We start from the raw sequence: 13,023 nt of genomic DNA, 5'->3' as shown, positions 1-13,023 counted from the left end.
GGGGGCATGGTGTAGCGAAATTCTTGTTGGCCGCTAAGCATCTACTTGTGAATTGGCTAAATGAAGATCAAAAGACTTACCAAAGATCACGATCTTATGAAAAATTGAAGGCAGAGCTAGGAAGTGTCTCAGATGATCACTGCTTATCAGCCCTACCTATGTTCTGCCAGGAGGAGCCCTCTCCATGCTGACGTCAAAGGGAGACCCAGTCAGTCTCAGGTTTGCTTACTGGCTGCCCTTTCGCTCCCCCTGGTGTTTGCTCCACTGGCAGTGCAGCCCCCATCCCCCTACCCTTCTGTTGGAACTGGGTCACACAATGGAATTGGTTTTGGTTAGAAAAGTAGAGCAGTTGTAAACACTTCCACTGTGAATGTGTTATTGAAAAACAAACTAATTGTTTTGGAAACCTGGATCATTCTTTCCTAGAGTTATAAGATGATCTGTTTTCATCCATGCATATAAGCAATAATAATTTGCTTCTATGCAGTGCTACTAGCATTCATGTGGAAACATGTTACAGAGCAGAAAGGTCTGCTCTGAACCACCAGTAATAGCCTTCATGTGGGAAACCAAGATCTGTGTACCTGAAACTCGAATTCTGGCAAGTGCATGGGAAATGGGACATGGAGGGAGAGACTGGGGGTGGGATGCATAGACTGGTGGAGAGGGCTTGAGATTTGACATGTCCTGTTACCTTTTAAAAAAGCAAGAAAGAAGAAAGCAGTCCATATACTCATCCAATTAGCATTATTTATTGATCACCAACTCTCCACCAGATCCTAGGCTAGACACAAAAATGAATAGGTCACAGGCTCAACTATCCATACCGGCACACTTCAGTGGTAAACAGACAATTCCAGTGTTGTGGGTTGGAGAAGGACAGAGAGATATGTAGGCTGACAAGGCAGAAATGACAACGGATTCCTAACTCCCCTGAGGGCTGGTAGAGAGAAGAGATTGGTAAAGACTGCTCCAGGGAGAGGAGACCAAGCTGAAGGCCCAGCATCATATGGAAGTGAGAAACAGCATGTTGTGCAGGTGGTGAGAGCTACAGGGAGTACATGGGCTCGTAGGGACAGAAGAGAGAAGCAGGCTTGGAAGGCAGATCATCTTCCTGGATGCCCTTGCAAGCCACTCTATGAATATTAGACTTCACTTAATTGAAATCAGGTACCACTTATATAGTACAGACAAGGCCCTGTTCAAAATGCTCTTGTTTTTTTTGTTTGTTTGTTTTTTTGCTTTTTTGAGATGGAGTCTCCCGCTGTTGCACAGGCTGGAGTGTAGTGGCACAATCTTGGCTCACTGCAACCTCCACTTCCCAGGCTCAAGCTATTCTCCTGCGTCAGCCTCCCGAGTAGCTGGGATTACAGGCACGCGCCACCATACCCGGCTAATTTTTGTGTTTTTAGTAGAGATGGGGTTTCATGATGTTGGCCAGGCTGGTCTTGAACTTCTGACCTCAAGTGATCTGCTCGCCTCGGCCTCACAAAGTGCTGGAAGTACAGGTGTGAGCCACTGTGCCCAACCCAAAGTGCTTTTTATGTGCTAACTGTTGTAAACCTTACAACCCTAAGTGATAGATAACTTTGTTCCCATTTTACAGATAAGGAAATGAAGGTACCTCCAGTCACATGTGCAGAGTCTGGATTCAAACCCCAGTCTGGGTCTCCAGAAACACTAGCTCTCAGCCCTGTGCCCATGATGTGCAGCCATTGCAGATAGTCACTGTAGAGAGATCACTCCAGAGCCTGGACTTGAGGGTGCAAGGGAAGTACATCAAGAGGTGAGGGTTACAGGTCCTGGGGAGAAACAGGGCTCCCAGGGTGATGGAGCTCCCAAAGCGATGCTTTGTCCAATCCCAGGCAGGCCATTCTCTAGTGACTGGAGGCTTGCTCTCCTGCTGTTTGAATTTTCTCATCAGTGTAGGAGAGGGGGATGATGTGGTGAATGGGGCCTGGGGCAGGGCGGTGACCGGGTGCTGGCCCAGCAGCTCCTTGAAGGGCTTTAATTTTCCTTCCATGGATGCACTTGTCTGGCTCCATTCTCAAGGACAACACAGCATGGTTCTGGCCTGGAAATGCCTTCTCCAGAAATGGAACTTGACTTTCTTCCCCTTGTATTTGCTGTCTGACCTATTCCTTTTTTTCTAAATATGAATGGACAGCTTCTATTCTCACAGTGCATTATCAAGGAATGCACAGCCAGGTGTACGTTTACAGAACGTGTCTGTGTGAGAGACAGTCTCAGCGCACCCTCCCCTTCCATCCCAACCCCACGCTGCTCACAGTGGCTGTTCATAGAGGGCTTGCACTGGGCCTAGCCACAAGCCTACATGACCCTGCCTCCCTGCCCTCTCCATGCAGGTGGCCTTTTAACTCTGCAGACTAATACCACCTCCAAAGGAATTACACTGCGTTATCTTTCTGTGCCCTGTGCCTCGTGAAGTCCTTGGATGGTTTAGAGCACAGCTCCACAATAAGACAATGGGCATTTAAATGCTGGGATGTTTTCAAGGGTGATGCAATTAATTCAGATTTATTAGTCAAATAATAGAAATGCACCCACCGCTTGAGGCCCTTGGGTAGGCTGTGTCTGAGGGGTGGGTAGCGTGGTTTGGAGAGAACTGAGATTGAGGATTGCTGGCATCACACTTCCTCTCTGGCTTAGGGCTGATTCCCTCCCAGCACCTGCAGTCACCTCGCTGGTGGAGTCTCCTCTCACTGTCTGCAACCAGAGGGTTTCCCTAGCTTAGCAGTGGGAACAGTGAGATCTAAGCTTACCCTTAGCCTTTGCAAGACCCTTTCGAGGGTCCATGAGAAAAAACTATTCTGGTAAGTATACTCAGAGTTCTTTTCCTTTCAGTTGTTGACATTTGCACTGGTGGTACAAACACAATGAATGATGCATGAGACAGGGGCTTCTTAGCACAAGTCAGGGCAGCAGAACCCAAAGCTCAACCTTTGAATACACGTGTTTTTCAGATTCAGTGGGGCACATGGGGAAATAGGAGAAAAGCACTTATGTGTGCCAGTTCACAAAGGAAAAGCCCTTGGGTAATTGCACTGTGAGCCGAACTAGCCACTTTTTTCATGAAATACAATTTTAACTTGAAAAGAAACGTTAATTATTCAGACTTGGATATTTGGCAGATATATTCTCAAAAAGGAATCAAGCGAGCCTGTCACTTTTAGGAAAATAACTGATAGTATTTGTTGCCAATGATAAAATTCAAGCTTTGAACCATGAACTTGGAAGTTTTCCAGACTTTAAAAACTGGGGAACTCCATGGTGATACTAATCAATGTGGTGTTTCAATTCTTTTTTTTTTTTTTTTTTGAGATGGAATTTTGCTCCTGTTGCTCAGGTTGTAGTGTAATGGTGCAATCTTGGCTCACTGCAACCTCTGCCCCCTGGGTTCAAGCAATTCTACCTTAGCCTCCCGAGTAGCTGGGATTACAGGCATGCACCACCACGCCCAGCTAATTTTTTTTTTTTTTTTTTTTTTTTGTATTTTTAGTAGAGACGGGGTTTCTCCATGGTGGTCAGGCTGGTCTCGAACTCCCAACCTCAGATGATCCGCCCACCTGTTCCTCCCAAAGTGTTGGGATTACAGGCCTGAGCCACCATGCCCAGCCAGTGTTTCAACTCTTTATAACAAAATGCATCACTATTTGGAATGTCTGACTAACATATTATATATATATATAACTTATGTATAACTATGCCTAGCTGATAGTTTTCAGCTGATCATTGTACAATATTATACAATTATGCGTGAGTGAAAGATCCATTTTAAGAGAAAAATAGACCACAAGTTTTAATGTAACAGAGCACAAAAAGTTCATTGATAGGTTTCAGATTCCAAATTGTAACCAACCCTAAGAAACTAGCCCTCGTAGAGTCTTGTTAGGTATCAAAGAAGAATATTCACAGTTCTTTGGAAGGATTCTTTAAATAGCTCTCTCAATTCAACAGTGTGTCTGAGCCTTCATATACTTCAAATAAAACAACATATTGCAACAAGTTGAATTCAAAAGCAGATGTGAGAAACCAACTTTCTAAAAAACCAGACCTTAAAGAGACTTGCAGACATTAAAAACGGTGCCAGTCTTCTCAGTATTCTTTTGGTTTTTGAAAATATAGAGGTTTTTTAAATTGAAAAAAAGCTGTTTTAAAATAAATTAATAGACATTTTAAAATTCCGTTTTACCTTTTAGTATGGTAAATATCAGTAGATATATTCCATCTGCCTAAAAAGTGTTTGGATTATCAATAAATTTCAAGAGTCTACTGTTTTGGGTAATCTAGTTTTTCTACCTCAAATATTATTTGAATTTTTTGACAAAACATTATTCAATAAAAATAAATAAGAAATCCATTACCTCAATAAAGTATGAACAAATCCTTAAATTGTGAAGTAAAGAACTGGTTTTAACTTGGAGGCATTCATGTATTTTGGCATCATTTACACAAAGAATAGATCCCCTTGAACCTAGAGATTGGCAGACTTTTTTACAGAGCCTGGTAGTAGATATTTTTTGTTTTGTGAACTGTATCTCTGTCTCTGTCTCAACAACTCAACTCTGCAGTTATAGACAGCATGTACAGTGAGTGTGTCTGTGTTATGGTGGAACTTGATTTACTAAAACAAGTGGCAGGTCAGATTTGGCCAGAAGGTCATAGTTTGCCAACTCCTGCAAAATTTCCCCTAAAAGAACATTGCAGGGTTTTGATGACACAGCCACCTACGCTTTATGCATTCACATGTTCCAAAAGTGAATTAATTTTGGTGCTAAAGCTGGAATTTGAATTTTTTTAAGTTTAGGGTTTGTCAGTGAAGGCACCTTTTTAAACATTGTTTTAGTGGGGGCATGCATGGTGAGTTTCTGCTATTTGGGGAGCAAGAAGACAACTCCAAAGGAGCAGATAGCAGGAACTCAGGGAAGAAGGCGGCTGCCTTAGGCACTTGTGCGGGCTCGGGGACTATAAATGCAGCTCCCCTTGGGCATGACAGAAATACTTCTTTTCACCTCTCCCTCACAGACAGGCACTGTCCTTGCTCCAGGCCGAGCTTGGAATCTGCATGAGATATTTAAAGCTAAAGATGGCCCTTAGAAAATTGCTTTCTTGCTCACTGACTCTGGCTTCAGGCTGGTTTCTAGGAATTTCAAGACGCATGTATGTTTATAGGCTGCCTTCTGTAAAGGGAACATATCCCCTAGTCCCAATGCTAAATCAGGTGAACCCACTTTCCTGTGCCTCCCACTGTTCACCTCCTTGTCAGCCTCCAGGATAGGGGTACCTTGTTTTCATCCAGGACCTTCCAGCCCAGCATTCAGAGAACTTGGGCAAGTCGGGCTGTCAAGTTGAACGAAGTGAGATGTAGATTTACGTTGCATTCATAGTTCAAGTTTGGTGAAGCACGGTGTGTGGTTATAGAACATAAGAGCCCTGGCAGCTGGTGGCATTGGTGGTCTCTCCATCTCACCCATCCTCAGGGGCTATGGTGGTCTGGCAGGCTATTGCTGCTAATGCAGAATGCTCTTAAGGTTGCTCTCACACAGGTCTTCTTGCCATCGGCAGCAGTATGTAAGGCTGCGTCGAAGTCAGGGCTGACTTTCTTTCTTTCTTCAACATTACATGCAGAATCTCTGCTTAAGGACTGGCTTTCTTTTTAAGCATACACCAGCACCAAAAAGCAGCCCTTGCAGGGCTGGCTTTCTTTTTAAGCATACACCAGCACCAAAAAGCAGCCCTTGCTTTCTAGTGTCTTTATCTGCTCCAGTACAGTCTCCCTCAAGATGTATTGGAAGCTTTGGGAGAATGGCTGCATCAAGCATGTCACTTGTAAGAATGTTGAAAAGGTAGCAAGTATCTAAATATCACTTAGATCATACAGTCTCGCCCATAATTGAACAGATTTTACATCTATATATATCCATATTGATGTTTCCTCCAGCCAAGATCTCATTCTCAGTGAAGAGTAAATTCTCTGAAAATCATGTGGGCATATCTTAACTTTATTGGTGATGTATAATTAGCTTCAGGTATTGAAAGATTTGCTTTAACATTTTTTCCTAGATTATGTGATTCTACAGAGAACAAAAGTAAGCTTGTCACTTATGTGCCCTTAGATTCTCATGATGCGGTTTTGAGATTTAACTCTGCTCCTACACGTGGTTATGAGAAAGATGTTGGGAATAAAACCACCATACGCATCATTAATTCGCAGGTAAGACAGATGGAGTGTTTTCATGGATGTATGTTTCTTAGGTTTAACTGGATGAGTGAAGAGAAATGAGTTTAACCGGATGAGTGAAGAGAAGTTACCTGGTTAATTATGACCGTGGTACTTGTTTATTTCTATCAATCTTATAATTAATAGAAATTAATGAAGAAAACTGCAGAGAAATGGGAATTTAGACATGACATGAATAGGAGGAAATGAATAAAATTAAAAGGAAAAATCAGTAGAAATAGAAATATATATATTTATAATCATAGACTTAGCATGTTGCATTTTGTGAACTGACAAAAGTTAAATTTAGAAGAAATGGCAATAAAGAAAGCAGAGGATAAAGGGGAGAAAAGCAAAGTATAAAATCTGAGTTCATAGGAGATCTTTGCAACTTTAGTCTGCCATTTGGAAATTTGAAAAAATGGAAAGGAATTGTTTAATTGGAAATGAAAATACCTCGTTTCTTCACGTTCTTAATGAGAATGCCTTGAAAATTTATAGCAAAGTTATCCTCAGAACAAACCACAACAATTTCTGGAGTTTCAAAATATGTAGAAAAAAGTGAGGTGATGAGTGATTTATGGTGAGTTGCTTACAGAACAAAAGATTAGCTTTCTGCACAGTTCACTGCACCAGGCAGCCTGCCGCAAGGTAAGAAACAATTACCATATTTCCTTAATTCAGAGATGTCATTTGACTGTAAAATCTGCCATTCATTTAATAACAACTTTTTACAAAGGAGGAGGTAAATGCCACCAAATTAGAATACATATCATCTGTAACATACATTCTAACTAAGAAACTTTAACATGAGAAGGAAAAAAGTACATCGTAATAATGGTTAAAAAAAAAAAGTATCTTAAAACTGAGGGAAAATAATATGTTGTTTTTTCCTGAAATAATAATTTTAAAAAGATGATTGGCAGCTGAGATTGAAGAACTCATTTAGAACTAGGTAGGGCCACAGAGGGAAGGCTGTGGCTGGCACCCTGGAGGCTCCTTCTGAACTCACTTCATCCACACCTGCAACTCTGTCTCCAAATTACATGTGAAGGCAATTGTAGAAGAGGTTGTGCGGCTTGAATTAGCTAGGGAGTTGCATCGTTCAGGATCTGGATTCAATACCACTAGACATGAGTACATTGCTGGTGAAAATGTCAGAACTTGTGCTTTTTTTTAAAAAAAAGTAATTTCCTCAAACATTCTTTAAGTGCTTCTGCATGCAACGCCTGCCTCTCTCCCTCCCCCAGAAGAAAATACAACGTCTGAGCCACCTGTTTTTTTGCCCCAGTTCTTTTTAATTTTCACCTCTTTTTAAAATGCAATTTTTAAAAACCAAACCCTGGCTTTGAAATGGTTTTTCTGTGTGTTTGCAGATTCTGACCAACCCCAGCCATCACTTCATTGACAGTTCACTGTATAAAGACGTCATTTTGGTGGCCTGGGACCCTGCCCCATATTCCGCAAATCTTAACCTGGTAAGTGTTTCCCTGGATTTGCCCACCCCAACGGTCAGACAATGGCTTTGACTAATTAATCATAAGAGCAAGGCAAGGATTAAGCTTTGACAGACAATGAAAGTACCCATCAATATCAATTTAATGCATGTTTGTGAACACCACGTTGATACCCAGTTACAATAGCACACTTGTGAGCATTAGTCATCTAATGCCAAAGTGCTTTTGTGCAGAATCGGTGGGCAGGGCAGCCGGGTGGGGGAAATGTAGAATATCTAAATATTCAGAAATTTCTAGTTACACTAAAGGGTTGACTGATTAAACTCAGAATTGTTTCATTGTGATAGGGCTACATTACCTTTCAAGTAGTTGGAAGACCTTTTGAAATAAATTGAAGGTGATGGCACGAAAATCTCAACTTTGTGAATCCACAGCTCATTTTTATTTAAATGGGGCCTGTTCCAGGCTCTTCTTGAGTGTGTTCCTCTTTGGCCTCTGCTTCTAAATCTGTTGAATTTTATGCAATAGGGCTGAAACAAGTTTATTGCTAGCCATAAAAACACAAACAGGTTATATTTGGGACATTCTGGTAAATCATTGCCTGTCTAAACAAGCAGCCAGCTACTTTTGGTGAAACCTTTCATGAAAAGCCAGCATGCTTGTTTATCAGTGAGGGCTGGAAAAGATGGATAGTATTTAGCCTAGTAAGAGATGCTGTCAGTTCTGTAAATGAGCGTCTTTGACTTGTTTAGTCAAGACCAGAGAGGATGCAACCTTCTTAAGATGAGTGTCAGGGAAAGATCTTTGCTTCTGTGAGAGGTAACCTCCCAAGATAAAAGCGGCTCCTGGAGAAGGAGCATTTTGGTCACTGTTGACCTTGAGACTGAGGCTGGACATTTACCTCATATGATTACTTACAATTCTTGACCAGGAGTGCAAGTCAAAATCACCTGGAGAGTATTTTTCAAAATCTGTCAGAGCCCCATCTCCAGAAATGGAGGATATATATAGCCTCAATGTATATTTTTTGAGAGGGCTCTTTGATTCTCATATGTACCCTCCGCTGAGAATCAAGCATCAGATGGGTGTTTGAACTTTTCAACTTCCTTTCCAGCCTGAGGTTCCCTGGTTTTAAGCTCTCACAGCTCTCTTGCTATTTGTGAACAGACTTGAGAGTTTCTAGCTATTGGACCTTATTTCTTCCTCTGTTAGAAGCAGCTCAGCCCAGGGCACAGAGCTGGCCACCCAGCAGTGCTAAAATCCCAGTGACAAGGCCGCTTTCTGTAAGGCCTTTGCTGCCATGTGAGGCCCCAAGAGGAGGGAGGGTAAAGGAGCGACTCTCCCTCTGGCCCCACATTCCTCTTGCTCCCTTGCCAGTGCCACATGGCTTGGGGCTTCATTTATGAAAGATACTCTGGTCCAGTCATTCTCAAAGCTTTTAAAGTGACAGTGCCATTTCACTAGTGGAATATTTCCTGTGATCTTAATATATACCCATTATATACCCCTGATGTCTGTTTAAAGGGAGTTTGATGAGTTGAACTTCTCCCTACTCTCTCCAAATCCATGTCATGGTTACAGCTGAGATGCTTCTGAAAACTTCCTTTTTAGAAAACATCTTTATTGATTTTTCATACAATAACATACATGGTGTAAGCAAATATAAATGTACCTTTTGATGAATGATAAATTTATACACTCATGTATCTACCACCACAATGAAAAACTGGAATATTTCCATCACCCTAGAAAGTTCCTTTGTTAATCAATCCTAGTTAATCTTCCCAGCCCCAACTCAGGCCCAAGCAGCAACGATACAATTTCTGTTACTGTAGATGAAATTTGGAAAACTCATATTTGAAATACACTGATCCAGTTCCCAGGGGTCAACAAACTACACCCATGGGCGAAATCTAGCCACCACCTGTTTTAATAAATAGTGTTTTTTTAGAACACAGCACGCCCATTCAGTATTTATTGTCCATGACTGCTTCCGTGCTACGATGGTACCGTTGAGTAGAGACGACTGACTCTATGGCCTGCAAAGCCCAAGGTGTTGATTATCTGGCCCTTTGTGGAAGAAGTATGCTGATCCGTGATCTAGTCCCTTTTCCTCATTTTACTTAAGCACAAAGCATTATATCTGCTAGGGCTAGCGCCCTGGTCTGTCTTTGTTCTTGTCCCCTCATCCCAATGAGGAAGTGTCTGTAGATGTCATGAGTCATGATCTTTCCCCATCCTCTAGCCCCAGCCTGGCCCCTCTGCCTCAAATCAACCAGCCATGCCCTGTCTCCTTTCATAGTTTAGTTCTTTCTACTTGACTGCATTGATTTTTTTTTCCTTAGTGGTACAAAAAACCGGATTACAACCTGTTCACTCCATATATTCAGCATCGTCAGAGAAACCCAAATCAGCCATTTTACATTCTTCATCCTAAATTTATATGGCAGCTCTGGGATATTATCCAGGAGAACACTAAAGAGAAGATTCAACCAAACCCACCATCTTCTGGTTTCATTGGTAGGTGTTATGTTAAAAATTGGAATGATTGGGGGGCAGACAGGATGATATCTAATATTTAACAAATATACAGTCGTGTTATACAGGTTGAAAATACCTTATCTGAAATGCCTGGAACCAGAAGTATTTCTGATTTTGGATTTTTTTTTTTCAGATTTCAGAATATTTGCAGATATTTAACCGATTGAGCATCTCTAATCCAAAAATCCAAAATGCTTCAATGAGCCTTTGCTTTGAGTGCCATGTAGGCACACAAAAAGTTTTGGATTTTGGAGCATTTAAACTTTTGGTTATTCAGATTAGGCATGTTCCACCTGTATAGTAAGAGCCATTAACAGGTGGCTTTGGAGGGAAGGTAGGTTAACTAAGGAAAAAAAAAACACTCGTGTAACAGACTACTCTGAAATTCCAAGGTGTAAAAGCAAGAACCGTTTTATTTTTCTCATGGTTTTATGGGTCAGGACAGGCCTGGCTGGGCAGTTCTTTCTGTTCTATATGGCATCCATGGGGGTTATCTGGTGTATTCAGCTGCTTTGTGGGATTACTTCACTCCCACATCCATCCAGTCCCTTTGCAGGGATGGCTAAAGGCCCAGCTCAGCTGGGACAGTTGACCATGTGCCTGCACATAGTCTTTCTTGCATGGTGGTCTCAAAGTAATTAGACTTCTTAAATGGCAGCTTATGGATCCTAGGGAGAATGTCTGAAAACACAGAAAATCAAGAATTTGAATTCTTCTCTGCCACTGCCAGTTTCTTAAGGCCAACACCTAGTAACTGGTACAGCATCACATGTGCAATTCTATTGGCCAGAGTTACTGCAGGGCTCACTTGATTCCAGGGGACAAAACATAGACCCCCGCCTCTTGAGGGAAGTGAGGGAGGCATGTCCAGGAATGTGCAGCATCGTGAATCCACCACCCATGCCTGTTCACATAGCTTATGCCATGCTTGGTTGTGGAGCTGAATCTGTGACCACAGGATAGTGTGTTGTGTTTCAAGATTATGAGTAGGTGCGGGCTTTGATGAGACTAGTTCCAGTACCTCATTTAGCTCTCTTAACCGAAGAGTATGCCATCTTTCATCTACAGATGGGTTTTATATAACAAGAGCATCACACTGGGCCTACATTGTTTTCCAGTCTAGCTTTGATCCTCAGAGTTTTTGGGTTTTACCCCATTTCTTTATCTGTGTTTTAGCTTATCACCCCATTGTTTCTTTGATATTACCCGAGTGGGTAATATTAAGGAATATCCTAGACCCTTTTGGCAATATTAAAACCTATACAAGAACCAAAGGATATTGGTTTTGTCTTTAAAGAACTGTAATGTTCTCTTCCCCAGTTTTAATGAATTTACACCCCTTTTCCTTTCTTGGGCTGCACAGTAGTTCCCCATGAATAAAGGAAAGATTTGTGGAGATAACATTGGTTTGGTTATGAATTCAGGACACACAGGTATCCTGAATTGAAGCTTGCAGATTTTAGAGTGGGTTTTGGTATTGTAATAATGTGAAATATTTTACATATAATTTAAAAACAAAATTTACAATATGACTGCATATTATTTTCCTTAAGCTCAGCTTTTTTTCTCCCTTTTAAACTCATGCCTTTGACACTCTTTGTTTCCAAATCACTCTTTTGAAATCCTAAGTTCTTTATCTTTTGTGTGGTTTCATAGGATCTTGTTGATTTAGGAAAGAAAGTATAATCTAGTTTGTCAGCAAAGGATAAACAGGATAGAATAATGCCTAGACAGCATAATAGGATGTGACAGAAGTTTAATAAAGTCTTTTTCATATTGTCACCCTCTCATGAATTCATGTGGCTAATATTTGATTAGAGCAAAAGTTTTAAAGCACAGTTAGAGGGGCCTGTCAGATACACTTATTATCAACATGGGGTTTAAAAAATTCAAGTTAGATAGTCATAACTGAAAAAAAGTACTTTCCTATGTTGTTTTTGTTAAAAGAAATCATGCCATATATAGCCAGCTTCCTTTTAAAGCTATTTACTGAGAATTTAAAGTTTCAGAAGCTGAAGATTATCTTTAAGCCTTCTTTGACCTGAAGAAGGGGCTGCAGTTTGATGCAAGAAGTTGAGGTTGTGCAGGGTGGGTTGAGTTTGAATTCCCCTCTGCTGTTTCCTAGCTTTCTGACCTTGGGCAAGTTAGTTAATCCTCTGACCCTGAATATCCACAGATGAGAAATGGAAATACTAATAAGCATTATTATTTTCTAACACTGTACTGACCAATATGGCTACTTATGTTTCAATTATGTCAAACTGAATAAGAGGAAACCTTTTGTTTCTCAATCTCACTAGCCCAATCTCAAATTCTGAGTCACCGTGTGCTCCTGATGGCTGCCATATTGGACAGTGCAGAGAGAGAACAATTCCATTGTCCCAGAACGTTATGTAGACAGCACTGTTATGTTTTGCTAGTCACAAAAGAAAGAAAAACAGCAAGTTGATAAGAAATCCCTCAGTTCCCACTGGGCAGGCTGTGCTCTGTGGGTAAGGGTTGGGGGTGGGCGAGGATAGAAGAGGCAACAGAAGATGTGGTCTGGCGTTGTTAAATTTATTTGTGGCCCTTGTGCCTTGTCATGGTGAAGCATGTGAGAACCCTCACCAAGGATGGGCAGTGGAGACAGCTTGGATGAGTTCTGCTCAGAAAAACTCCAGCACCTTCTGATGACTCACGAGACTGCAGTAGTCTTTGCCCCTCTTCTTTGATCTTGATCATAAATAGGCTGAGAGCCAGAATCTGTTTTATAACTTATCCAACATCCTTAAATAGCAGTAAAAT

General features: G+C 41.3%; 1 protein-coding gene across 16 annotated transcripts in view; it reads left to right on the top strand.

Annotated features, from left to right (window-relative positions):
- Positions 1 to 13,023, top strand: part of ST6GAL2 (ST6 beta-galactoside alpha-2,6-sialyltransferase 2) — an 85,678-nt gene that overhangs the window by 46,994 nt on the left and 25,661 nt on the right. For all 16 annotated transcript variants that reach the window (NR_136313.2, XM_011511999.3, NM_032528.3 and 13 more), the window contains 3 exons: positions 6,138 to 6,235; positions 7,618 to 7,719; positions 10,044 to 10,218. Coding sequence is in view for 15 of the 16 variants with exons in the window: in XM_011511999.3 (XP_011510301.1) it covers positions 6,138 to 6,235; positions 7,618 to 7,719; positions 10,044 to 10,218 (375 nt within the window). In the remaining variant the exon portion in view is untranslated. The remainder of the gene's footprint in view (positions 1 to 6,137; positions 6,236 to 7,617; positions 7,720 to 10,043; positions 10,219 to 13,023) is intronic.

Source organism: Homo sapiens, chromosome 2 (assembly GCF_000001405.40).
Source record: "Homo sapiens chromosome 2, GRCh38.p14 Primary Assembly".
Taxonomy (NCBI): domain Eukaryota; kingdom Metazoa; phylum Chordata; class Mammalia; order Primates; family Hominidae; genus Homo; species Homo sapiens.
The sequence above is the reverse complement of the archived record's forward strand: the minus strand, read 5'-3'. Positions and strand labels throughout refer to the sequence as shown.